The sequence below is a fragment of the Homo sapiens genome, chromosome 3 (assembly GCF_000001405.40).
Source record: "Homo sapiens chromosome 3, GRCh38.p14 Primary Assembly".
NCBI lineage: Eukaryota > Metazoa > Chordata > Mammalia > Primates > Hominidae > Homo > Homo sapiens.
Window position 1 is genome coordinate 113,045,641 of NC_000003.12, and position 27,600 is coordinate 113,073,240.

The 27,600-nt window shown below is 43.1% G+C and overlaps 2 long non-coding RNA genes across 13 annotated transcripts in view, besides 1 other annotated feature; one reads left to right on the forward strand and one right to left on the reverse strand.

Moving 5' to 3' along the window:
- Window positions 1-27,600, forward strand: part of NEPRO-AS1 (NEPRO antisense RNA 1) — a 164,860-nt gene that overhangs the window by 26,123 nt on the left and 111,137 nt on the right. For 6 of the 12 annotated variants that reach the window (NR_186661.1, NR_186660.1, NR_186656.1 and 3 more), the window contains exon 2: window positions 16,147-16,370. The exons of the other annotated variants lie outside the window; for them this stretch is intronic. This is a non-coding gene — a long non-coding RNA (NEPRO antisense RNA 1). The remainder of the gene's footprint in view (window positions 1-16,146; window positions 16,371-27,600) is intronic. 12 annotated transcript variants of the gene reach the window in all.
- LOLI1 (lncRNA oncogene in liver cancer 1) overlaps window positions 5,273-27,600 on the reverse strand; it is a 53,508-nt gene continuing 31,180 nt past the window's right edge. Inside the window, exons 2-3 of the long non-coding RNA NR_189285.1 lie at window positions 13,306-13,427; window positions 5,273-6,065 (exon numbers count right to left, since the gene is read on the reverse strand). This is a non-coding gene — a long non-coding RNA (lncRNA oncogene in liver cancer 1). The remainder of the gene's footprint in view (window positions 6,066-13,305; window positions 13,428-27,600) is intronic.
- Window positions 5,884-6,063: an enhancer, noted in NCBI's record as "active region_20248". NCBI's record gives its function as "activates an Ori minimal core promoter by ATAC-STARR-seq in GM12878 lymphoblastoid cells {active_cell/tissue: GM12878}" and the evidence as "EXISTENCE:reporter gene assay evidence [ECO:0000049][PMID:35858748]".

Below are 27,600 nucleotides of genomic sequence, written 5' to 3' on the forward strand. Positions count from 1 at the left end.
CTTCTTTTTTTTTTTTTTTTAATTGATCATTCTTGGGTGTTTCTCGCAGAGGGGGATTTGGCAGGGTCACAGGACAATAGTGGAGGGAATGTCAGCAGATAAACAAGTGAACAAAGGTCTCTGGTTTTCCTAGGCAGAGGACCCTGCGGCCTTTCGCAGTGTTTGTGTCCCTGGGTACTTGAGATTAGGGAGTGGCGATGACTCTTAACGAGCATGCTGCCTTCAAGTATCTGTTTAACAAAGCACATCTTGCACCACCCTTAATCCATTCAACCCTGAGTGGACACAGCACATGTTTCAGAGAGCACAGGGTTGGGGGTAAGGTCACAGATCAACAGGATCCCAAGGCAGAAGAATTTTTCTTAGTACAGAACAAAATGAAAAGTCTCCCATGTCTACCTCTTTCTACATAGACTCGGCAACCATCCGATTTCTCAATCTTTTCCCCACCTTTCCCCCTTTTCTATTCCACAAAACCGCCATTGTCATCATGGCCCGTTCTCAATGAGCTGTTGGGTACACCTCCCAGACGGGGTGGCGGCCGGGCAGAGGGGCTCCTCACTTCCCAGTAGGGGCGGCCGGGCAGAGGCGCCCCTCACCTCCCGGATGGGGCGGCTGGCCGGGCAGGGGGCTGACCCCCCCAACTCCCTCCCAGACGGGGCGGCTGGCTGGGCGGGGGGCTGACCCCCCACCTCCCTCCCGGACGGGGCTGCTGGCTGGGCAGAGGGGCTCCTCACTTCCCAGTAGGGGCAGCCAGGCAGAGGCACCCCTCACCTCCCGGATGGGGCGGCTGGCCGGGCGGGGGGTGACCCCCCAACCTCCCTCCCGGACGGGGCGGCTGGCCGGGCGGGGGGCTGACCTCCCCACCTCCCTCCCGGACGGGGCTGCTGGCCGGGCGGGGGGCTGACCCCCCCACCTCCCTCCCGGACGGGGCAGCTGGCCAGGCAGAGGGGCTCCTCTCTTCCCAGTAGAGGCGGCCGGGCAGAGGCGCCCCTCACCTCCTGGACGGGGCTGCTGGCCGGGCGGGGGGCTGACCCCCCCCACCTCCCTCCCGGATGGGGCGGCTGGCCGGGCGGGGGGCTGACCCCCCCACCTCCCTTCCGGACGGGGCGGCTGCCGGGCGGAGACGCTCCTCACTTCACAGACGGGGTGGCTGCCGGGCGGAGGGGCTCCTCACTTCTCAGACGGTGTGGCTGCCGGGCGGAGGGGCTTCTCACTTCTCAGACGGGGTGGTTGCCAGGCAGAGGGTCTCCTCACTTCTCAGACGGGGCGGCCGGGCAGAAACGCTCCTCACATCCCAGATGGGGCGGCAGGGCAGAGGCGCTCCCCACATCTCAGACGATGGGCGGCCGGGCAGAGACGCTCCTCACTTCCTAGATGGGATGGCGGCCGGGCAGAGACGCACCTCACTTTCCAGACTGGGCAGCCAGGCAGAGAGGCTCCTCACATCCCAGACGATGGGCGGCCAGGCAGAGACGCTCCTCACTTCCCAGACGGGGTGGCGGCCGGGCAGAGGCTGCAATCTCGGCACTTTGGGGGGCCAAGGCAGGCAGCTGGGAGGTGGAGGTTGTAGCGAGCCGAGATCACGCCACTGCACTCCAGCCTGGGCACCATTGAGCACTGAGTGAACGCAACTCCGTCTGCCATCCCGGCACCTCGGGAGGCCGAGGCTGGCGGATCACTCGCGGTTAGGAGCTGGAGACCAGCCCGGCCAACACAGCGAAACCCCATCTCCACCAAAAAAATACGAAAACCAGTCAGGCGTGGCGGCGCGCCTGCAATCGCAGGCACTCGGCAGGCTGAGGCAGGAGAATCAGGCAGGGAGGTTGCAGTGAGCCGAGATGGCAGCAGTACAGTCCAGCTTCGGCTCGGCATCAGAGGAAGACCGTGGCAAGAGAGGGAGAGGGAGACCGTGGGGAGACGGAGAGGGAGAGGGAGAGGGAGAGGGAGAGGGACTATAGCTTCTTTTCCCAAGAAAAATTATACCTAAGGAAGAAATTTCCAAATTTCTGCCATGTAGAATGATTTTACATCCAAATCTTGTTCACACTTTAATTTCTAGTTCAGAAAAGTCCCTTGTTTCACCTGCTCTCAAAACTGGAACTGGAAGTAATCTCTTTCATCTCTGAATTCTTTTTTTTTTTTTTTTTTTTTTTTGAGACGAGTCTCACACTGTAGCCCAGGCTGGAGTGCAGTGGTGTGATCTTGGCTCACTGCAACCTCAGCCTCCCGGGTTCAAGAGATTCTCCTGCCTCAGCCTCCTGAGTAGCTGGGATTACAGGTACGTGTTACCATGCCCTGCTAATTTTTGTATCTTTAGCAGAGATGGGGTTTTACCCTGTTGGCCAGGCTGGTCTCGAACTCCTGGCCTCAAGTGATCCACCCGCCTCGGCCTCCCAAAGTGCTAGGATTACAGGCATGAGCCACCGCACCCAGCCCTCATCTCTGAATTCTGATCTCGTTTTACCTCTACCTCTCTTGTGAGCTGCCCATGGTCTGCCTTGTTCTCAAGACATTTACTCTCAGCTCTGTAAGCACCTTCATGCAGGTGATGAATTCATCTTCCATAGTGCTGGCATGTGGGTGCTCAGGGAATACTTGTTGAATAAAAACCAAATGAATTAACTCATGAATAAAAAATCCTTCCTATAGGAACCTATCACTAACCTGGCATTAAGAATTTCTTAATTCAGACTGAGTGCAGTGGCTCACGCCTGTAATCCCAGAACTTTGGGAGGCCGAGGCAGGCAGATCACCTGAGGTCGGGAGTTTGAGACCAGCCTGACCAACATGGAGAAACCCCATATCTACTGAAAATACACAAAAATTAGCCAGGCGTGATGGCGCATGCCTATAATTCCAGCTACTCTGGAGGCTGAGGCAGGAGAATCGCTTGAACCTGGGAGGTAGAGGTTGCGGTGAGCCAAGATCATGCCATTGCACTCCAGCCTGGGCAAAAAGAGCGAAATTCCATCTCAAAAAAATAAAAATTTTAAAAAAAAGAAGAATTTCTTAATTCAAAAAGCACAACAGCTCTAGAGGGCACTGGAACGCATTTGAAAGATCAGTCATACACTGATGCATAATGTGTTAATATCTCATTCTAGTCTCCAAAATTTTTCCTTGATTCTAAGAAGAGTAGTAGTAGATTTTAATTAAAATTGCATGCTTCTACCTGGATATACTTTTTGAGAATTTTCTCATGTTTAGAGCTTAAAAAATAAGCGTATTCTCTTGAAATGTAACTTGTATGCAAAAGTCTTAAGAAGACAGCCTCTCCTAGGGTTTTTATGGTTTTAGGTCTAACGTTTAAGTCTTTAATCCATCTTGAATTAATTTTTGTATAAGGTGTAAGGAAAGGATCCAGTTTCAGCTTTCTACATATGGCTAGCCAGTTTTCCCAGCACCATTTATTAAATAGGGAATCCTTTCCCCATTGCTTGTTTTTCTCAGGTTTGTCAAAGATCAGATAGTTGTAGATACGCAGCGTTATTTCTGAGGGCTCTGTTCTGTTCCATTGATCTATATCTCTGTTTTGGTACCAGTACCATGCTGTTTTGGTTACTGTAGCCTTGTAGTATAGTTTGAAGTCAGGTAGTGTGATGCCTCCAGCTTTGTTCTTTTGGCTTAGGATTGACTTGGCGATGTGGGCTCTTTTTTGGTTCCATATGAACTTTAAAGTAGTTTTTTCCAATTCTGTGAAGAAAGTCATTGGTAGCTTGATGGGGATGGCATTGAATCTATAAATTACCTTGGGCAGTATGGCCATTTTCACGATATTGATTCTTCCTACCCATGAGCATGGAATGTTCTTCCATTTGTTTGTATCCTCTTTTATTTCCTTGAGCAGCGGTTTGTAGTTCTCCTTGAAGAGGTCCTTCACATCCCATGTAAGTTGGATTCCTAGGTATTTTATTCTCTTTGAAGCAATTGTGAATGGGAGTTCACTCATGATTTGGCTCTCTGTTTGTCTGTTATTGGTGTATAAGAATGCTTGTGATTTTTGCACATTGATTTTGTATCCTGAGACTTTGCTGAAGTTGCTTATCAGCTTAAGGAGATTTTGGGCTGAGACAATGGGGTTTTCTAGATATACAATCATGTCATCTTCAAACAGGCATTACCATTCAGGACATAGGCATGGGCAAGGACTTCATGTCTAAAACACCAAAAGCAATGGCAACAAAAGCCAAAATTGACGAATGGGGTCTAATTAAACTAAAGAGCTTCTGCACAGCAAAAGAAACTACCATCAGAGTGAACAGGAAACCTACAAAATGGGAGAAAATTTTCGCAACCTACTCATCTGACAAAGGGCTAATATCCAGAATCTACAATGAACTCAAACAAATTTACAAGAAAAAAACAAACAACCCCATCAAAAAGTGGGCAAAGGATATGAACAGACACTTCTCAAAAGAAGACATTTATGCAGCCAAAAAAACACATGAAAAAATGCTCACCATCACTGGCCATCAAAGAAATGCAAATGAAAACCACAATGAGATACCATCTCACACCAGTTAGAATGGCAATCATTAAAAAGTCAGGAAACAACAGGTGCTGGAGAGGATGTGGAGAAATAGGAACACTTTTACACTGTTGGTGGGACTGTAAACTAGTTCAACCATTGTGGAAGTCAGTGTGGCGATTCCTCAGGGATCTAGAACTAGAAATACCATTTGACCCAGCCATCCCATTACTGGGTATATACCCAAAGGACTATAAATCATGCTGCTATAAAGACACGTGCACATGTATGTTTATTGTGGCACTATTCACAATAGCAAAGACTTGGAACCAACCCAAATGTCCAACAAGGATAGAATGGATTAAGAAAATGTGGCACATATACACCATGGAATACTATGCAGCCATAAAAAATGATGAGTTCATGTCCTTTGTAGGGACATGGATGAAATTGGAAATAATCATTCTCAGTAAACTATCGCAACAAGGACAAAAAACCAAGCACCACATGTTCTCACTCATAGGTGGGAATTGAACAATGAGAACACATGGACACAGGAAGGGGAACATCACACTCTGGGGACTGTTGTGGGGTGGGGGAAAGAGGGAGGGATAGCATTAGGAGATATACCTAATGCTAAATGACGAGTTAATGGGTGCAGCACACCAGCATGGCACATGTATACATATGTAACTAACCTGCACATTGTGCACATGTACCCTAAAACTTAAAGTATAATAATAATAAAATAAAAAAATAAAAAAAGAAGCCTCTCATTTGAATCAAAGACTCAGAAGGCATAAGACTAATACGTTTTATTTAAACTTCTGAAATGAATTTTGGTTTGGAATTAGATCTGAATATATAGGTCTAAACCCTAGTTTAGAGTCTTGAGTGTTTTAAGAATTAGAATTTTCCTGGGTCACATGCTGACTTTCACTTTCTGGAAATGTTTTAAAATGAGCGTACAAGAATTTTATAATGATCTCAAAATACACAAAATGATTGTTCACGAAAAGGAAGAGCAAGTGTGGAGAAATGAGAAACCAGTTCGCAGCAAACAGAAATAAAAAGGGGATGGAATTAAAACTTCTCTTGCTGAGAAATCAGATTCTCATAGAACAACCGTTCCAACTCCATTCATTTAGATGAACTCCGTTCATTTAGATAATAGCTTGAAGTGTAATTATTCCCCGTGGACCTTTGCGCTGACACTTCACAGCATTTGCCTCAGAGATCAGTCGTTATGGCTTGTTCAATACCCGTTTTCTCCACCAGAGGGCAGCAAGAGGCCGCACCAAGATTACTCTCTAAATGAGTCATTCTGGCTTCAGTGAGAAGCCACGTGGAGGAACCTACTACGTTGCAGCCCTCCTCTGCAAACCAAGATCCGCAACCTCAGACAGAATGGAGACAAATCGCCTTATCCCTGGCAGAAGATTTTCAGATAATCGGAGAAACGTCTCACAGGCAAATGCACATGATTTCAAGGCTTGCCCTCTGAAGAAGGAGTCAGTGGTGGTTTTGGACAGGAATGGCATCACTTAAATGTATTTTCAAGGAGCAGAGTCACCTGATGCTGAGAACGGCTAGACTAAAAAAAAAAAAAGAAAGAAAAAAAGTTGATAGGTACTCGAATGTGTTTTATCTGCGTTAAATACGAAATGCCCAAGAATGGGACTTGGAGAAAATGAAATCATTATTTCTACTCTTTGACAGCCTTGAGACAAAATTTCCAAGTCAAATTTATAAGGCCTCGGATTTGGTTGCTTGTTTTGCTTTCTTCTGTCTTGCCAGTTACCTCCTGAGAGTTGGGCAAAGATCAGTAAGATCCCTTTGCTGTGGCTGCCAGCAAGTCTGTGCCTGATTTGACGAGATTCTGAAAAGGTACCAGTGCCTCCTCCCTCCAAGGCCTCTCGTGGAACATAACACCCTAGAACTATGCCAAGAGACAGAGCCAAGCCACATTTCAGTGTCTGCTGCTGCACCAAGCTCTGAGCAGAGGCCATCTTTTCTGCTCAAGAAGTTGTTACTGAATTCTTTCAAGTGCTTGCTTTGGGGACAAAAATGATCAAGAAAGATAGTCTCTGTACAACCAACATTTCCAGGAAACCCATTATTTGTGCATTATCTGTATACTCACAAACACACATAAGCACATGCACACATGCCAAGACACAAAAAGTTTTCAGTTAAGAGAGTCATGTTCCTAAAAGCTTTATCTTTTACACCAGTATTTATTGCTGTCTATCTTCATAAGGTCTACTGTGGGAGATGCTGGCATAGAAAGAACTTTGCCTCAGGAATATACGAGAAAACATAATCAGGGCAGAAAGCAGAGGTATTCAAATAACAAGGTCCTAAAGTGTGTTGCAGCTGATACATGAACTCACATCTAACTCAGGTCAACTCTGGGATAAAAATGAGCATCGAACAGTCTCCTCCCACAAGTATGTAGGCACCATGAGAACAGCAATGTTTAGTTTCTTGTTCCATCCTAAGTGCCCGGAACATTTCTGATGCTCAATTAATGTTTGCCAAATAACAAAAACACTTAGGGAATGTACCATATCAGAGACAAACATACCGTCTCTCAGTAAGTCCCTCCAGCATTAACACAGATTGTGATTTCTTTAGGTTGACACTAGCTGAAGTAGTTGGCTTGGATTTAGGGGCCATGTTGTATGCATCGTTAACAACAATCATATCTAAAGGAGCAAGAAGCTCACCCAGGAGAAGTGTGTGGGCACAGATACTGGTGGAATGAATGGAAGACTCCCATCTAACGCTCTCTCAGGAGGGTTGCTGGATTTAGCAAATAAAAATACAAGGTATTCAGTTACATTTGAATTTCCGATAAATGAGTTTAGCATGGGACAAACTTATATTCAAAAATATTCATTATGTATCTGAAATTCAAAATGAACTTGGCCTCCTGTATTTTACCTGGCAAACCTACCATGGGGCATACACTTTCTGAGTGGAAAGGTGGGAGGATGGTCTGACTTTTTCAATTGTAACCTCTCTTTCTCTCTGGGCACATAGGTTGTATCCTTTTAACTTTAATGTATGAATGCCATTGTAGTATGATAATCACAGTGGATTCCATTTAATCCCATTAAGTGTGCCATCAGAAATCCCAGTATTTTGAAAATGTTCCCTGAGCTTAACGATTTGAGAACCACTAGTGTACAAACTTTAGTAAGCAGCCTTCTTTAATCTGAAGGAAGGGTGTGCCCTATAATCTTCTTCCTCCCCTTCACATTGGGAAATTATTTCTGGGCGGATACCTTTGTTCAAAAGGTTGAAAATAGGCTTAGATGGCACTGTATTTCCTAAGTAACTTCCTGCCAATTATCAACCTCTTCATTATAAAGTGGGTCTAATACCCCACTCAGGGGGTGACGCAGGGGTTCCTAATGGAAGAGTATGGGAAAAAAGGACTCAATTAAGTGATGATAATATGAACTCAACTTTTCCAACACAAATAAGGCTTAGAAAAAGTGATCCCCAGACTTCTGTTCAAAACATCTTGTATTAGTCCTGGACCACAGCCAGTCTTTCCTGAGAACCCACACCTAGCTGTGACTCTAAACAAGTGATGAGTTCCTAGTCACAGTCTTAAAGAGACCAGGTCCGCCTGAGCAGCCCTGTGCTTTATGGGCCAACTCAGCCAGAAGCTTCAATGAATAACCATGATACCTTGAGTGGAGGCAGGAGGAGTGGCCGGAGGCAGAGGAATCCAGCTACTAACCAGGGAAAGGATTCAAATAGATGCTTTTCCATTAGAAAGTCTCTGTTCAAATGACCTCAAGGCTTAAAATTATAGAATTTTGTAAAGAAAATTCTCTTTTGTCACCTATAAGCATTATCACTTTTTATTGAATTATACTATAAACAAATATTGTTTAATTGAATGAGACTAATTAAATCAATGAAAATACAATGTTTACCTTTTCTGGAAACCTTCAGTATATTATATGGCATTTAAGGCATTTTACAAATTAACACCAATCTATCTTTCCAATCTTATTTCCTTCTGCTTCTTTCTGGGACTACTACATTCTAGCCAGAGGTTTCTGCACCTTGGCACTGTTGACATTTTGAAGGGGAGAATTCTTTGTTGTAGGAACTATCCTGTGCATTGTAGGATATTTAGTGGCATCTCTGGCCTCTATCCACTGGATACCAGTAGAACATACCCTCCCCGTGCAAGAGTGTGACAATTTAAAAATGTCTGTAGGCATTGTCAAATGTACCCTGGGGGGCAAAATCACCCCCATGAAGAACCATTGGGGGGCAAAATCACCAGCACTGAGGACTACTGCTCTGTCCCACAAGACAACTTTCCCTGCTATGAACACATTTTCTCAAGCTCTACCCACACTCCCCCACCACACCACACACACCTTTCACTCCTGTTCCCTTGACCTAAAACACCCTGCTTTCCCCCTTTCCATTGACAAACTTGTATTTATTCTCCAAGGCCTAAATCAAATGCTATCCTACATAGCTTTCCTTACAATCTATGCCAACTTTCCCTCCTCTAGGCTGCTGTGGGCATTGCACACATCTTTACTTGTACTAATAGTGTTGACCATATGATGTTGCAATTATTTATTCACCCTTCCCTCCTTCTCCCGAGAGGCTATTTCTCAAGAGCAAGGTCTGTGTAACTATACTACCCAGCATGGTTTTCTGTCCATGCATGTCTCTGTGAGAGAGAGAGAGACAGAGAGAGAGAGTGTGTGTGTGTGTGTGTGTGTGTGATCTGACAAATAAATATATACAGCACTCTGCTTTGTTAAAGTGTAAGACAAAGTCCTAAGCTATACCATTTACTATATTTCCTAAAGAAACATGTGGATTTTAGTTCTCATCATGTAGATTAATTGGTTAGACTAGATCTCACTAGACCTTATGTTCCCACAAATCTGGATTACTATTTTTCCAAATATGCATGGTATTTTCCCATCTCTACATCACTGTGGAAATTGTTTTCTTCACCTGGAAAGTTCTGCTCTCCTTTCTCCCTGTCAAAATCCTCCTCAAACACCACCTCTACTTTTCACAGTCCTGGACACACACACACCATGCACACACACCACTCACACACACACACAAAACACACATGCAACACACATGCTGTGGTTTCTTCTTTCTGAGAGAGCCCTTGCTTTTTTATCTTCTTTTCTAACTCTCCTAACTTTCTGTCTTATCCCCAATGGTCTCCTCTTAAAGTTAGATTGTACTCCTTGAAGGCAAAGACTTCTTCCTCTTTCTACTTCTGCAGCTCCTCATACAGTGACTTGCACATACTCATACTAAGTATTGAGTAAGAATTTGTTACATTGAAGAGAAAAATCAGAGATTGTCTTGAAAACACTGAGTTAATATCCAGACAAAAGTGTGGGTAAATTCAGAAAGAGAATGGATTTTGACAGCAGCAGAGTCAAACTTTAGAAAGATGAACTCATCTGGGCTGGGAAATAATGAAGATGCACCATCAGACACCCATGGTGGTTCAAGGGCAAGGTGAAACCATAATAACAAAGATGGCAAAGACCATTTTGGAGTAACAGAAATGGGATTGGGTGCCTAATTGGAAATGGGGCAAGGGGAAGAGAGGAGTGAGGAATGAATAATATCATTCCAATCCTGAGTGGGTGCTGGGGTCATCAAAATATAAAGGCTTGGGGGAGAAAGAAAGAAAGTCAGCATTTGAGAAGCCAGTGAGCTACCTCAAGGAAAATATCACAGAAATAATTGGAAATGTGAGAGTGAGGCTCAGAGAAGCCGAAGGACCTGGAGACAGGGTTTGGGAGCCAGTCATCTAGCTGAGGCCAAGGATCATTAGGGGATGACTGAGGGGTAGGGTCTGTGAAAAGAGAAGGGAAGACGGACTGGTGGGGAAGGGAGTAGCTGAGGAACAGTGCTACAAAAGCCAGGAGGGAACGAGGTTTCAATAACGTGAACATTTCAAGAATTGAAAGGATGCAGAAGTTGGTGAGTATGAGGGCTGGAGATGTGCCAGTAGACTTGTGGATTGGATATCTGCTGACTTTTGGGAGATGAGACTCAGTGGGGAGCAGGGGCTAAAAGCTGTTAGATCAGGCTTGAAGGAGCGGTGAGAATGTAACAGCTGAGAGTGAAGAAACCAATTTCCTCAACAAGTATGTTAGTAAAAGGAAGGTGATAGGTACCCGAATATCTTGAGGGAATTGCAGAGTTTAAAAAAGTTTTGTTTGTTTTCAGGTTGTGCAAGACTGAACCTTGCTTGTTGAAGGAGGGTAAGGAACTGGAAAGTAGATTTTGAAGCACTAAGAGAGAAAACTGAATAAGCAAAGTCTTGCAGGTGTGCTGGGATTGGCCTCCCTGAGGAAGGGCTGCCTTTGGAAGGAATAAGGGTATCTACCCCTGAGAGAGAAGGAAAGAACAGGTTAGGAGTGAGGAATCACATAACTAAGGCAATGAAGAGAGTGAAAGGACCCACCTCTAGACATTTTCACTCTACTGGAGCAAGAGGGTAGATGGTGAGCCAAGGCCATGGGGTTTGTGAAGCTGGAGTTCCACACACATGATAAATGTCTCAGGGAATTGACAAGATATTTAAAGGATTGAAAAGCAGCAGTGAGGTCCCAGGATTCCTTTCAGATGGAGGTATCTTTTTCTAGAAAATTCCTTTGCATCCTTCAACACTCAGCTCAAATGTTCCCTTCTCCGGCTCACCCAGGTGGAAACAAAACTCATGGGAGTCATCCTGTCTCCCTGCAACTCCACAACCGTTCTAAAAATATTTACCTTGTTGTATTTGACATTTTATGTTCTCTCATTTGTCTCTCTCACTAGTTCTTGAGTTTCTAATTGGATAAAGATCATAATTTATCTCTAAATTCCCAGTGTCTGGGAACATGGCTAACACATATTAAGTGCTCAAAGGGTAAAGCGCAAGTGAATGAATGGAGAGATGAACACAAGAATGAATAATATTTTCCCCACTGGTGGAAGCTGACTTTTGCTTATAGCATCATTCATTAATGAGAGGAGGGAGAGTCCCAAGGAAGTCTGGTCCTCTTTTCTGGCTGCACAAGATGAGTGAAAAACTGCACATATGGCTACATGTGAAGTCAAAGCAAATGAGAACAATCATAGCCATGAAATGAATTTGAAATGCAAATAGGTTTCTCAAAACCCATATGCAGTTCTGAATAGCAGAAAAAAAGAGTGGGAGGATGGGGAACTGAGAGAAGAAAGGGACCAAGCCCAAGAGATAATTTTCAGTTGGGAACGGAATGACTTCCTAAATCGTAGAGTGTGTGGTCCAGAAAGCAGAGAGCCACAGATGCAGTTACTGTAAAAAGCCCCTCGTGACTTTTTTTTGGAAAAAAGAAAGTCTGTTTTGAATCTGGCTATCTCTCTAGCATAGCTTTGCCTTAAAAAGCCATGGCTCCATGAAATGCTGTTTCAGGTGGAAATCAGTTTAATGTGAATATGTGATACTTTGCAATACTGGTGAGTCTATTTACTGAACCCCTACTGTGTATTCTGCGTGTCTGTCTTTATTTTTCACAACCTTCCTGCTAGATGGGTGTGATTATCCCTGTTTTACATATGAAGAAACTGAGACAAGGAACAGATAGGGAAGGAACCTAGGATTGGACTGGTACACAAGGCCTAGATTAAAGACCAAGTCTTTCTAACTGGAAAACCCATATCTGTCCACTCTATTACACGATACTCCATCAAGTGTAATTAGAAACAGGCGCCATGGGGATGCATAGAATCAAGGACAGCTTTATGGGCACACTACCTGTGAAGGCATATGGACCCCATGTGTAGGAGGGTCTGGTGCTTGGTTTAATGTTCTGCTGCTACCGTCTTGAAATTCTCATTTTGCACAGGCATTTTCATCTTGCACTGGGCCCCACAAACGATGGAGACAGTACTGCATAGAATCAGAATGTTGGAGCTGGAAGGACTTTGAGAGGTCATCCGTTCCACCCCCACCCATCTTGCAGATGAAGAAACTGAAGCTAGGACAGTAGCACTGGCCATCTTCAGTCACAAGCTCATTCACGTCAGAGCAACAGTATAACCCAGGCCCCACAGAGTGTTTCCCCTTTGCTGCAGGAGCTTATCTCCAGCCAAAATATCACTTGTGGCTGAGCTGGGTCAAGTCATTTCACTCCTGGGCAAATGGCCCTGGACTTTTCATGAAACCAAAGGCACATAAACCTGAATGTGATTCCAGCAAAACCGCAATGTCTACTCTGTGGTAAAGGAAACCTTTAGCTGGGTGTCTCACCAAACACCTCTCTCTCCTGCCCAAACCTCACCAACATGCATTTCCTATGCTGGGTGTGCCAGCTCAGCCAGGATAAGGGGGTGGTCATTGCCAGGGCAGTGAGAGAGAGGTCAGGCTTAAGGCCAGGGCTCAGCTCCCACCAAACCTGGCCCACAGAGGGACGAGCATTTGGCCCAAGGCATAGATATTCCACATCTACTAAATCGATACCACATTAATCCCCTTCAGAAGGGCCTCTTAGAGCTATCCTCAGGTCATTAAGACAAATAACCAAGCATTTGTAAGAGTTTGTACTCATCTCTTCCATGCCCACATATTTGGACGCTCCAAAAGAGGACGTAATACTCTGTCAGCCTACAAAACATGGATTTGCAGCCAGGCGTGGTGGCTCACACCTGTAATTCCAGCACTTTAGGAGGCTGAGGCAGGTGGATCACTTGAGGTCAGGAGTTCAAGACCAGCTTGGCCAATATGGTGAAACCCCATCTCTACTGAAATACAAAAATTCACTGGGCGTAGTGGGGCGCACCTGTAATCCCAGCTACTTGGGAGGCTGAGGCAGGAGAATCACTTGAACCTTGGAGGCAGAGGTTGCAGTGAACCGAGATCACACCACTGCATTCCAGCCTGGGGGACAGAGCTAGACTCCATCTGAAATGAAAAAAAATAAAAAAGAAGACATGGATTTGCCTCAGACACACAGGAGTTGGTGGCTCTGCTTAGTGGAGAGCCAGGGCTGAGATGCATTGGGTTGTTTTGAAACCACATGTGTCTGCCCCAGCCCAAAGGACAGAAGTGTGGCACATACAGATGACCAAGGAAACTTGACTGTGTCTTAAAAGAGCCTCTTTTGGCCAGACGTGGTGGCTCATGCCTGTAATCCCAGCACTTTGGGAGGCTGAGGCAGGCAGATCATGAGGTCAGAAGTTCAAGACCAGCCTGGCCAATATGGTGAAACTCCGTCTGTACTAAAAATACAAAAATTAGCAAGGCATGGTGGTGCACACCTGTAGTCCCAGCTAATCAGGAGGCTGAGGCAGAAGAATCACTTGAACCCGGGAGGCAGAGGTTGCAGTGAGCCAAGATCATGCCACTACACTCCAGCCTGGGCAACAGAGTGAGACTCCATCTAAAAAAAAAAAAAAAAAAAAAAAAAGCCTCTCTTGGTTTCCTGGAATTGTGGTAAGGTTTTGCCTGTAGGAACAGTAAGAACAATTTTCGTTTTCAGGTTAGTGAGATAGGACGGACACGCATAAGCCCCACCTAACATGGAAGCAAGATGAGAGCAGGGAATTTGACTTCTTTTGTTCACTGATGCATCTCGGGTACCTGAAAAAGGCCTAGCAGATAGCAGGTGCTCAATAATTACTTGATATGCGAATGAATGCTACTGTGATCTTGAAGGATCCTTAAGCCATCCATATAAAAATGAATAGTATAGGGTCATAGATTTTTTTCATTTATCAATAATATGACAACCAAGGAGGGGTACTCGGAAACTCTGAGGAGGTAGAATGGGTCCACAGTGTCTTGTGTGTGCTTAATCCAAATGACAACAAGCAAGGGGGGGAATATTAGAAGTTACTATTTCATTTATTGGATTATTCCCCCATGGCTCTATGGATTTTGACTCATTCTAGAAACTCTACCAGACAATGGGGGTGAGTATTGCCCAGCCTTCACCTCCCTTCCCTTCTTGGGATATTTTTTCTCTATTCTACACAGTCTTGATGGGACTGGAAATTGAAATGCTAATACAGCCAGGAGGTGGGCCTAGGAGTCAAGAGCAACCAATTATACCCTTTTCTCAGGTCTTTCCATTTTAAGTAGACCAAAGCAAGGATGCAAAAGAAAAATGAATGGAGGATTTTTTTCCAGCAGCGATGACCAGTGTGGCTTCTGCCACCTGGATGTCCTGAGCCTCTGTGGCTCCTGCCCTGATTTCTGTGGCTTCTTGTCCTTTATGTGAGCTCTCCAGTATACCACCAATACATTCCTCTGTTATTTAAGTTAGCCAGGGTTTGCTTCCATTGCTTGGAGCAATAGAACCCTAGTTGACTTATCTGATTTCATAACTGACTGCTAGTTAGCATCAGAAGCTTTGCAAACAAATAGCCCCAATGGGTATCCCAGTTAGGAACAGCCTGGAGTGCCCAGGACCTCTCCAATCTCCACCCCTGATTCTAGCCTCCGATGAGTCAACTACCATACCCGTCTGGTTTTAGGGGGACACAGGCAAATCAGTTGGGGACATCAATGCCCCAAGTTTCCATTTGTCTTAACCTCACCTCCCACCATGGAATCACCATCTTCAGAACAGTCCAAGGGCTGCATGACCTGTGGGCTCTGCTCTGGTCTGGGCCTTGAAGGCAGTGATCATGTCTCAGAAATCTTCATTCCCTGTGCTTGGTCCTAAGTAGGCAGTTAGAGTTCAAGCTGAGAAGTATGCCGATGGCTTAGAGCTGTGGCCCTCAACCCTAGTCATACCTTTAAATCACCTCGAATTTTTTTTAAAATGCAGATACTCAGATCAAAAATTCATCTGAGTTGTTCTGGAGTAGGACTCAGGAATTTTTCTGATTTTTGTTTGGTTTGATTTTGAGACAGAGTTTTGCTGTGTCACCCAGGCTGGAATGCAGTGGTGTGATTTCAACTCACTGCAACCTCTGCCTCCCGGGTTCAAGCAATTCTCCTACCTGAGCCTCCCAAGTAGCTAGGACTACAGGCATGTACCACCTCACCTGGCTAATTTTTTGTATTTATTTTATTTATTTTTTTTTAGTAGAGACAGGGTTTCACCGTGTTGGCCAGGCTGGTCTCGAACTCCTGACCTCAGATGATCCACCCACCTCGTCCTTCCAAAGTGCTGGGATTACAGGCATGAGCCACCCTGCCCAGCCTCTAATTTTACTTTTTGAAATAGTTTTAAACCAACAGAAAAATTACAAGAGTACTCTCTTTACCCAGATTCCCTAATTATTAGTTATTAACCTTTTAGAAAGAAAGAAATAGATATCTATGTGTGTACACATATACACATATGTGTGACTAGTTATACAGAAGTATATATATATTTTTTGTTTGCTCATACATATGTGTGTATATTTATAGAGAAAGAGAGAAATGAACTGAATTTATTATAATCTTTTTTTCTGACATCATGACCCATAACTCCTACAGATTCCAGCATATACTTTCCCCAAACAAGAACATTCTTCTGTATTACCATGTAATACCTTTCCAGTCTGAAAATCTGCATCAACCAACACTACCTTCCAATCCGGTAATCCCATTCAAGTTTCTCCAACAGTCCCAATACCATGTTTTTCCTTGTTCCAGGAATATTTATTGTCTCATTGTTCTCCTTCAGTCTGGAACAGTTCCTCGTTCTTTCTCTGGCTCTGGATCTGCGTCCCTGACAGTCTTAAAGAGGACAGACCTTTCATTCATGAGGATGACCCTCAACTTGGCCCAGTCCATGTTTCCTCAGACTCAAGCCTTGCATTCCTGGCAGAAAGACTGAAGAAATGATGCTGTGCTCTTCTCAGTGCTTCGCGTCAGGAGGCTCTACTCTCTCAACCGGCCCCACTATTGGTAATGTTAACCTTGGTCACTTAGCCAAATTTGTGTCTGCCATTGTGAAGTCATCATTTTTCCTTTGTATTTGATTAGTACTTTCTGGGGACATATTTCAATGTCACACCAATATCCTATTCCTCATCAAACCTTCACCCAGCAGCTGAGTATCCATGAATGACTCTTACCTTTGTCAACCACTGTAGGTTGACTGCCAGATGGAGATCGTCTATTGCCAACATTTAAAATGGTCTATGTTCTATTGTAAGAAAGAGCCTTACTTTCCCCTTCATTTGGTTGTTTATATATTCACTCATTTATATCCATGTGGGCTTGTGCACTCTTATTTTATTCATTGAATTTCAATCCAGTATTTTCATTATTTATTTTGATGCTTTGATTGTCTCCGATTTGGCTAGTAGGGAGCTCCTTCATGCAAACTTCTCTCTCCTTCTGACATGTCCCTGTCATTTTTTGAGCACTTCTTTATTTTCTGTCACAAGATAATTCAGGCTCATTTTTTTCTTTCCTTGCCCTAGCCCTATAATCAGCCATTCCTCCAGGAGCTTGGCTTCTTTTTGTGGAGGGGATATTTAAAAGCCAAGATCTGGGAACTTGGTGTGTATATTGCTACATGTTTCTATAATTGTTTCTATATCTATATATATTTGAAAATTCATAAGTTTCTACCAATACTTCCAATTTCAATCCAACATCTGAGGATCTCCCTAGATTTCCTATTTCCATGATTATAACTCTTGTACCAGATGATAAGAAACATGGATCTGACTATACTCAATTTATTCACATATTTTCTCAGTGAACTAACTTATTTGCTGAATATAACCAGTCCCCAGCCTTCCAACTGCCTCTCTCACTTGCCACCTCTGCATCTTCCCCCACTGTCTTCCTCAGCAATCAGACTGCCTCTTGCCAAGTCATCACCACAGCACCCCCTCCTCCCTCACTGTCCTGATCCCTTAGATGAAGATGAGAAGAGAAAAGAAAGCATTAGTATTTTTACTACATACTTAGAATCCAAGTGATTCTAAGTATGTAGGCAGACTTATGTACATCACTTGGACCATGTAAGTAATAGGCATACAATACTTACATCTAAGCCTGAGTCCCAAATTATCAAACACACCATATGACATTTTCCTGGAAGCATTCCTTTTTTGGTAAGGATTCAGTGTTTCACGATTATGAGTGGAGTTGGCAGGTCCCTGGAAGTGGTAGGGAGTCATAAGACTTCAGAAACAAGATGGTGTCTTAGTCAGTTCAGGCTGCTGCAACACATTACCGAAGAGTGGGTGACTCAAACAATACACATTTATTTCTCATAGTACTAGAAGCTGGGAAGTCCAAGATCAAGGTGCCAGCAGGTCCAGTGTCTGGGGAGGGCCTGCTTCCTGGCTTGCAGATGAACATCTTCTCATGACATCCTCACATGACAGAGAACAGAAAGAGACAGCAAGCTCTTGGGTCTCTTTCTATAAGGGCACTAATCTTATTGATAAAGGCTCCACACTCATGACCTAATTACCTCCCAAAGGCCCAACCTTCTCATACCATCACATTGGGGATTAAGATTTCAACATATGAATGTGGGGAAGGACACAAACATTCAGTCCATAACCGTTGGTAGAATAGCAGAAGTAGGGCATGCCATGGGAAAGTACATGATTTTGCTTCAGGCTGTCCCTGCCTGTGCCCTCTCAAAATTATCTCATGCACCCTGTCTGGAATGTGCATGTGAGTCACTGCTCCCTAATCTAACTTGCAGTCAACCTGTTTTGACTCCTGAACTCTATGAAGAACGTGCCTGCTTTGAATTTTTTGAAAGCTTCACTCCATTTCTAGAGGTCTTCTTGTATTTTTCCACTTTGAAGAAAGAATTGCACTCCTGGTAAGGAGTATAACCAGTGGACACACAGTTTTGTCTTGAGCTCGTCTCTACCAGTACCTCAGCCTTGACCTCTCATGTCTGCTTTTGGCTGCCTGAGCCTTGGACCCCCAGTCAACAACCTCACTGCCTTCTTTATCTAGTCTTTGCAATATGGCCTGGTAGGAATCACAAATCCAGCACTAAACTCCACAGGCCAGAACTGCCAAAGTCGAGCAGTATTAACCCGCCTGAGCCAAAGATACTGCATTTTCTTCAGCTCCACACTAATGAAGAAATTTGTCAAATATTTATTCTGGAAGATAAATTAAAATCAAGTTAATAGGAAAGGAGAATGAATGATTGAATTCTGTTATTGCCTTTCTTGGCTCCTTATGTTACTGGAAAAAGCCATAAAACCTTATTTGTGCTGTTCATTTTCATATTTTCATGTTTACATTATAGCAGAAAGAAAAGTCAAGGCTGGCTCCAGATGAAACATCTCTGTCTGGAAAAGGAACACTTCGTCCCAAAGCCACAATTGGCACAGCCCTGCAAAGTGAACCTACACAACAAACTCAGGGCAAAAGTCAAATAAGAGAAGAGCTAAAAGGAGACAGAGCCCAACAGATGGAGGCTCTTTAACTTATTAAAGTGAAAAAGGTCCACAAAAGATATAGTCAATATCTGGTTTGCCAGTAATAGCAGGTTGGTCTCCAAAATCTTCCTCTGACATGATAATCAGTTCCCAGATACCATCATGCATGGCATTTCAAGAAGGAACCCCTGAGCAAATCATGGACTGACATGGATCACAAAAAAAAAAAAAAAAAAATACTCATGTGAAGTGGTTGGAGTTCACACTGCTTAAAGTTTAGCACTGGGAGCACTTACTCTCTTGTAAGATAGAAACAGGGAAGCATGGAGGTTACTATGTTTTCATGGGTATGTGTTTCTGCATTAAAAATAAAAGTATCAGAATAAGAAAGGAACAGAAATTTAAAAAACCAGACCAACTTGTAACCTGAAAATAATACCACAATAAATAGAATAAATTAGAGCCTGGAGCTAAGACTAGGCTGGGAAATTATCATAATCACATTCCATAAGAAAAATTATGACGGTCAGGAAGATCGTTCTAGTCAAGACATAAAGAAATTCAGTCAGGCCGGGCGCAGTGGCTCAAACCTGTAATCCCAGCACTTTGGGAGGCCGAGGTGGGTAGATGACCTGAGGTCAGAAGTTCAAGACCAGCCTGGTCAACATGCTGAAAACCCATCACTACTAAACATACAAAAATCAGCTGGGCATGGTGGCGGGCGCCTATAATCCCAGCTACTCAGGAGGATGAGGCAGGAGAATTGCTTGAACCCGGCAGGCGGAGGTTGCAGTGAGCCAAGATGGCGCCTTTGTGCTCCAGCCTGGGCAACAAGAGCAAAGAGCGAAACTTCGTCTCAAAAAAAAAAAAAAGAAATTCAGTCAATCTGGGCTTCACTTGTGTTCTTACTATGTGCAGGGCATTGTGTTGACACCACAGACTGATAGAAGAACTAGAAGGTCTGGTTCCTTCTAGTTTTATGCCAGGTCTGTGGTGTGCTGTAATTGGCTAAGACTCACTTGTGGGAACATATTGTCAAATATTCAGGAAATTCTTGAGCAGATTGCTAAACCATTGTTAGCTTGAAATTAGCCACGAAAGAATATTTACACCATGATCATGGACAAATGCTGCACATCAGGACTTTGTTTTCAGGGAGCCAGCTTAGCAACACACCACTGCCGTAAACATACATAGACCGTGCCTAAGGCTGCAGATGATAGACTTAGAAAGACTTGTGTATCAGCTTGAATGTTATTGGTGTATATAAATATTACTGATGTGTGTACATTTATTTTCCATCCTGAAACATTACTGAAGTTGTTTATCAGTTCCAGGAGCCTTTTCACAGAGTCTTTGGGGGGTTTTCTAGGTATGGAATTGTATCATCCTCAAAGAGAGATAGTTTGACTTCCTTACCTGTTGGGATACCTTTTATTTCTTTCTCTTGTCTGATGGCTCTGGCTAGCACTTCCAGTACTATGTTGAATAGGAGTAGTGACAGTGGGCATCCTTGTCTTTTTTCTGTTCTCAAGAGGAATGCTTCCAGCTTTTGTCCATTCAGTATGATGTTGGCTGTGGGTTTATCATAGATAGCTCTTACTATTTTGAAGTATGTTCCCTCAATGCCTAGTTTCTTGAAGGTTTTCTATCATGAAGAAATGTTTGATTTTAATGAAAGCTTTTCCCACATCTATTGAGATGATCATGTGGCTTTTGTTTTTAATTCTGTTTATGTGGTGAATCACATTTATGAATTTGCACATATTGAACCAACCTTGCATCCCAGGAATGAAGCCTACTTGATCATGGTGAATTAGCTTTTTGATGTGGTGTTGGATTCAATTAGCTAGTATTTTGTTGAGGATTTTTATGTCCATGTTTGTCAGGAATATTGACCTGTAGTTTTTTGTTGTTGTTGTTGTTGTTGTGTCTTTGCCAGGTTTTTCTATCAGGGTGATGCTGGCTTTGTAGAATTAGCTAGGGAGGAGTACCTCCTGTTTGATTTTTTGGAATAATTTCAGTAAACTGATACCAGATCTTCTTTGTACAGCTGGTAGAATTTGGCTGTGAATCCATGTGGTACGAAGCTTTCTTTGGTTGGTAGGTTTTTCATTAGTGGCTCAGTTTTGGTGCTCAATATTGGTCTAATCAGGATTTCGATTTCTTCCTGATTTAATCTTACGAGATTATCTGTTTCCAGGAATTTATCCATTTCCTCTAGATTTTCTAGTTTGTGTGTGTATAGGTGTTCATAATAGTTTAGAGGATCTTATGTATTTCTGTGGGTTTGATTATAATGTCACTCTTGTCATTTCTGATTATGTTTATTTAGATCTTCCCTCTCTTTTTCTCTGTCTCTCATGTTTGCGTTCATGCAATGTAGCTAAGTCTATCAATCTTGTTTATCCTTTCAATGAACCATATGATCATCTCAACAGATGCAGAAAAAGCTTCAACATAATCCAATATCCCTTCATGATAAAAAGCCTCAACAAACCAGGCATTGAATGAACATACCTCAAAATAATAAGAACCATCTATGACAAACCCACTGCCAGCATCTTACTGAATAGGCAAAGCTAGAAGCATTCCCCTTGAGAGCCAGAACAAGACCTATTCAACATAGTACTGGAAGTGATAGCCAGAGCAATCAGGCAAGAGAAAGATAAAAGACATCCAAATAGGAAAAGAAGAAGTCAAATATTCTGTCTTCAGGGGTGATATGATTCTATACCTAGAAAACTCTAAAGAGTCCACCAAAAGGTTTCAGCAACTAATAAACAACATCAGTAAAGTTTCAGGATACAAAATCAAAGTACAAAACTCAGTAGTATTTCTACACACCAATAACGTTCATGTTGAGAGCCAAATCCAGAATGCAATCGTATTTACAATCACCACACACAAAAAATACCTGGGAATACAACAAGCCAAGAAGGTGAAAGATCTCTATAAGGGGAACTACAAGACACTTTTGAAAGAAATAATAGATGACACAAACAAATGGAAAACCATTCAATTCCCAAGGATTGGAAGAATCAATATTTTTAAAATGGTCATACTGCCTGTGTTAGGCCATTCTTGCATGGCTATAAAGAAACACCCAAGACTGGGTAATTTATAAGAAAAGAGGTTTAACTGGCTCACAGTTCTGCAGGCTGTACAGGAAGCATAGAGGCATGGCATTGCTTGCTTCAGGAGAATTCAGGAAGCTTCCAATCATGGCAGAAAGCAAAGCGGAGCAGGCACATCATATGGTGAGAATGGGAGCAACAGCAAGAGAGATAGTGGGGGCAGGGAGGTGCCACACACTTTTAAATGACCAGATGTCACAAGAACTCACTCACTATAATGAAGACAGCACCAAGCCATGAGGGACCCACTGTGATCCAAACACTTTCTGCCAGGCCCTACCTTCAGCACTGGGGATTTCATTTCAACATGGGATTTGGGCAGGGACAATATCCAAACTGTATCACTGCCCAAAGCAATCTACATATTCAACACTATTCCTATCAAACTACCAATGACATTTTTCACAGAACTAGAAAAAACTGTTCTAAAATTCATATGGAGCCAACAACAAGCCCAAATAGCCAAAGCAAGCCTAGGCAAAAAGAACAAAGCTGGACGCATCACCTTACCCACCTTCAAACTATGCTTATAAGGTATAGTAATCAAAACAGCATAGTACTGGTACAAAAACAAATACATAGACCAATGGAAAAGAATAGAAAATCCAGAAATAAAGCCTCATATCTACAGCCATCTGATCTTCAACAAAGTCAACAAAAATAAACAATGGGGAAAAGATTCCCTATTTAATAAATGGTGCTGGGATAGCTGGCTAGCCATATGCAGAAGAATGAAACTAGTTTTCTAGCTTTCACCATATACAAAAATTAACACAAGATGGATTAAAGTTTTAAATATAAGACCTCAAACTATAAGAATCCCAGAAGAAAACCTAGGAAACACTATTCTGGACACTGGCCTTTGGGAAACAATTTATGACTGAGTCCTCAAAAGCAATTGTAACCAAAACAAAAATTGAGAAGTGGGACCTAATTAAATTAAAGAGCTCCTGCACAGCCAAAGAAACGATCAATAGAGTAAACAGACAACCTACAGAATGGGAGAAAATGTTTGCGAATTATGCATCCAATGAAAGTCAAATATCCAGAATCTATAAGGAACTTAAACAGTTGAACAAGCAAAAAACAACCCCATTAAAAAATGGGCAAAAGACACGAAGAGATACTTATCAAAAGAAGACATACAAGTGGCCAACAAACATATGAAAAAATGCTCAACATCACTAATCATTAGAGAAATGCACATCAAAACCACAATGAGCTACTATCTCACACCAGTCAGAATGACCATTATTAAAAAGTCAAAAAAACAACAGATGCTGGTGAGGCTGCAGGGAAAGGGGAATGCTTATACACTGTTGGTGGGAATGTAAATTAGTTCAGTCACTGTGGAAAGCCATTTGGAGATTTCTCAAAGAACTTAAGACAGAACCACCATTCAATGCAGCAATCCCATTATTGGGCATATATCCAAAAGAAAACAAATTTTTCTACCAAGAAGACATCCACCTACATGTTCATCACAGCACTATTTACAATAGCAAATGCATGGAATCAACCTAGGTGCTAATCGGTGGTAAACTAGATAAAGAAAATGTGGTTCATATACACCCTGGACTACTACATAGCCATAAAAAAGAAAGCATCATGTCCTTTGCAGCAACATGGATACAACTGGAGGACATTATCGTAAATGAATTAACATAGGCAAAGAAAATCAAATGTTACATATTCTCATTTACAAGTGGGAGCTAAATATTGGGTACTCATGGACATAAAGATGGCAACAATAGAAACTGGGGAGGAGGGAGAGAGGCATGGGTTGAAAAATTAACTATTGGATACTACTATGCCTAGTACCTGGGTGACAAGATCATCCATACCCCAAACCTCAGCATCACACAATATACCCAGGTAACCAACCTGCACATGTACCCTCTGAATCTAAAATAAGAGTTAAAAAAAAAGAAAGAACATAAGGAATGACACAAGAAAGGACACGGTGACCACTGTGAAGCCAGTCTCCAGGACAGGACAAAGACATTTGGTACCATGGGGAAGCTCCTGTTGAAAGCAAGACTCGAGGAAAGCGGGGAAAAAAAATCTGTGTTTTTTGCTAGCCAACCTTAATCACCATCCTCACCTCATCCCCAGCCAGGGCCATCCTATCAGCCTATTAGACTTCTAAGGAAAGGCAGAGAGGAGCACAAAGGAAAGAAGGGGTAGGTAGAAAAGCTGCTGAGGCATAGAATTCATTGACTTCTACAGATGGAAGGGCCTTGAAAATTACCCAACCCAACCCCTTTACTTATAGCTATGGGAATAGAGCCAAAGAGATAAAATGACACCAAGGTTATATAGCTAGTTAAGTGACACAGCCAAGGCTAGAAACTTGGTCTCACTCATTACCCCTACATGATGCTAGGTACTGTGTTGGTTCCTAACCTTGGCTCTTCTACTGCCACGCCAGTATAACTTACATACACATATGGGGAGGCAGCATGGAATTAAAGGAAGAACTGAAGCTGATTAATCCCTCCCTCCAAGCCAGCACATTGAGTATGGGTTGTTTCAGAAATAATTTGGCTTATTAATTCCAACTAGGAAGGGCCTGCCAACTTAGGAAAGGGATGGGGGCTGAAGAGCTGATCATGAAGATGCTGTGTATGTACCATCTGGTGTACATTGGAAAAAAGTGTCATTTGTCTTAAATTGAGTTCCAAGTCATAATTTCTTCACTCACAACCTTTACTCCCTAAGAGACTACCAGCAATGAGCTGGTGATTTCAATTCCTTCCAGATGGAAAAATGTTGATGTCATCCCAAACCTTGCCTCTGTGAGAGTCATTTTATTCTTCCCAGCATAATAGAGCAGCTGAAGCAGAGGTGTCAGAGTTGGAAGGAGTCCCTGAGACTAAACCGGCCCCTCTAGAGCCATTTCCTATCTGTCAAGGTTGCACTTCTCAGACTAAGGAGAGAAATTTGTGCTGTGGCTGCACTAGTGGCACCTTCTTGGGAAACAGAAGATTTGGTTCTGCACTTGCCAACCAATTCCTGTTATCAGCCTTTAACTTACATTATATTTTAAGCAGAGAGGTCCTTATTTAGACAAGCTAAATAAAACTTTTGTGAGAGAATGATTCCAGGCTGGTCCCCAGAGGGATGGATGGAATGTATAGCTTGATTGTTCCCCTGCCTCTCTGATTGCAGTGATCATTTCAACAGAAGCAGCAAGTCGACTTTTAGCAATGTGGACTTTCCATGGCAAGAGGATTACAGAGGTTTCCTTCAAAGGGTCGTTTTGGAGGCTAACGTTGGGGGAGAAGAATAACCTCAGATCAATTTTCAAGATTCTTACTTTGTGCCTAATAATTAACTGTATTGCTGAGATGACTCATCACCCATAGCTACATCCACCAAACAGATGGGTGACGCCACATAGCTGGGAGTAAAGTGAAGCTGTAGAGACTGAGAGCAAAACAAAACTGAAAACATTTACTACAAACTTACCCTCTGACCTCTCTGTCACACACCATACCTGGAGGACAGCAGCTCCATCTAGGTGAGACAGACTATTATATGATAGGTGAGCTTCATAACAACTCTACTGGGTTGGAGGGTGACCAACCATCCCAGTTTGCCCAGTACTGAGAGGGCCCCTGGGATGTCACATTTAACTTTAAAATCAGAATAGTCCTGCAACTTCATTTTCCCCTGCCTCCAATTTACTAATTAGGAATTTGAGACTCCAAGAAATCAAGAAACTCATTCAAGATCACATACGGTTTAATGGCAGATCTGAATTCATATCCTATTCCAACTTCAAAGGCAGGACTCTCCTTCCAATGCCTGTTGATATTTCTATGTAGTGACAGAGAAAGTGTGAAAATATTAAATAGATGAATGTTTACTTGTATTTCTCCAGACTAGGGGCCTATTTAACAAGAAAACAGTCTTAAAAACCCAGGCTTGGATGAGAAATGTTTCCTAAATTTCTTTGGGAAGGAAGCATAGAGAACTCAGATCATAAAGTATTTCTCATATTTTACAGAAGATACAACCCAATTGTGAAGACTAGACCATGAGTAGGGAAACCCTATATTCCAGTGTTCCAGTCCTGGTTTATTCCTGTTGTTCTGATGAAACATTACAACTGCTCCCTTTCACGCTCAAAAAAGTTCTAGTTTCGATGATAAATTATATCATCCCCAAGCCAAGAGGCTCACCATTTCATGGTAGAAGAAGAATGTGAGATTGGAAAGAAAAGAAAGCCCACTCTTTCTGACTGAGGAGTTTTGAGAAGAGACAAATGAGAGGAAAGCAAAAGTAGATGATATAGAAAGGAACCAGGCAATGGAATGCTGGAGTCAGCTTATACAGGCTAGCAAAGTCTCCTTTTAAATATTCACACATTTTTTAAGCAGAGTGCAAATATTGATACCCTGCTCAGAAATCAGAAAATGTTACAAACAAGGGCCTTTTCTCCCCCATAGATCGAGTGACCAGCACACTCTTGGTTCCAAAGCACTCTCTTTTCTCTTTCTCTCTTTCTCATTCTCTCTCTCTTTCTCTGTCTCTTTCTCATTCTCTCTTTCTTTCTGTCTGTCTCTCTCTCTCTCTCTCTCTCTCACACACACACACACATACACAGTCTATGACTAAAATGACAGGAGTGCTTTAGAAGTACCAAATTAAGTCAACTGAATTCCAAGGAGAGGAATCTTTTTTTTTTTTTTTTTTCAGATGGAGTCTCGCTTCGTCGCCCAGGCTGTAGTGCAGTGGTGCAATCTCAGCTCACCACAACCTCCGCCTCCCAGGTTCAAGCGATTCTCCTGCCTCAGCCTTCCGAGTAGCTGGGACTATAGGTGCACGCCACCACACCTGGCTAATTTTTTGTATTTTTAGTAGAGATGGGGTTTCACTATGTTGGCCAGGCTGGTCTGGAACTCCTGACCTCGTGATCCACCTACCTGGGCCTCCCAAAGTGCTGGTATTACAGGCATGAGCCATTGTGCCCAGCAACAGCAACCTTTATTCCAGCTTCTCATCTGGGCCTCTGGAAGGATGTTACCACCTAGATTAATGTGGGGTGTGTTACTTTCATGCAAACCTAGTTGTACAGTGTAGTTAAGCAGAGAAAGGCACACAAATTTATCTTTCCTAAGTCACTTTCAGTTGCCCATGGCATGTATAACTCAAATTTAGTTGATAACCTATCTGAAAAACTTGCCAAAGAGTGCCTGCCAACCTGAGGTGACTCTCAGCAGAGGGAACCACCTAGATCAAGACCAAATGTATAATAAGGTCTCAGCTCAATTCCAGAGGGGTTCACAGATGAGGCAAGAATGCCAGGGATGGTTACTGTCCCCGGTGGAGCCAAAAGGAACCTGAGCAAGTATTATGCTGGCCACTGACCTTAATGAATGCCTGCAAGGCCAGTGGTGACCAAGTGGACAAAGGGCATCTCTGTGAGTCCAGAAGAGCAGAGGGCACATAATAGTAAGCACTTAACAAATACGTGCTGTCCCTCAACTTATGTCTATTTTTCTTCCCGACTACTGGCCCTGGTGTCTTTGGGCCCAACATTAGATACAAAGCAGTAACCTCAAATAGACTGCTTAGCCAGCTTCCACGACTGTTTGAGATCTAACTCCTGCTAAAAATTCC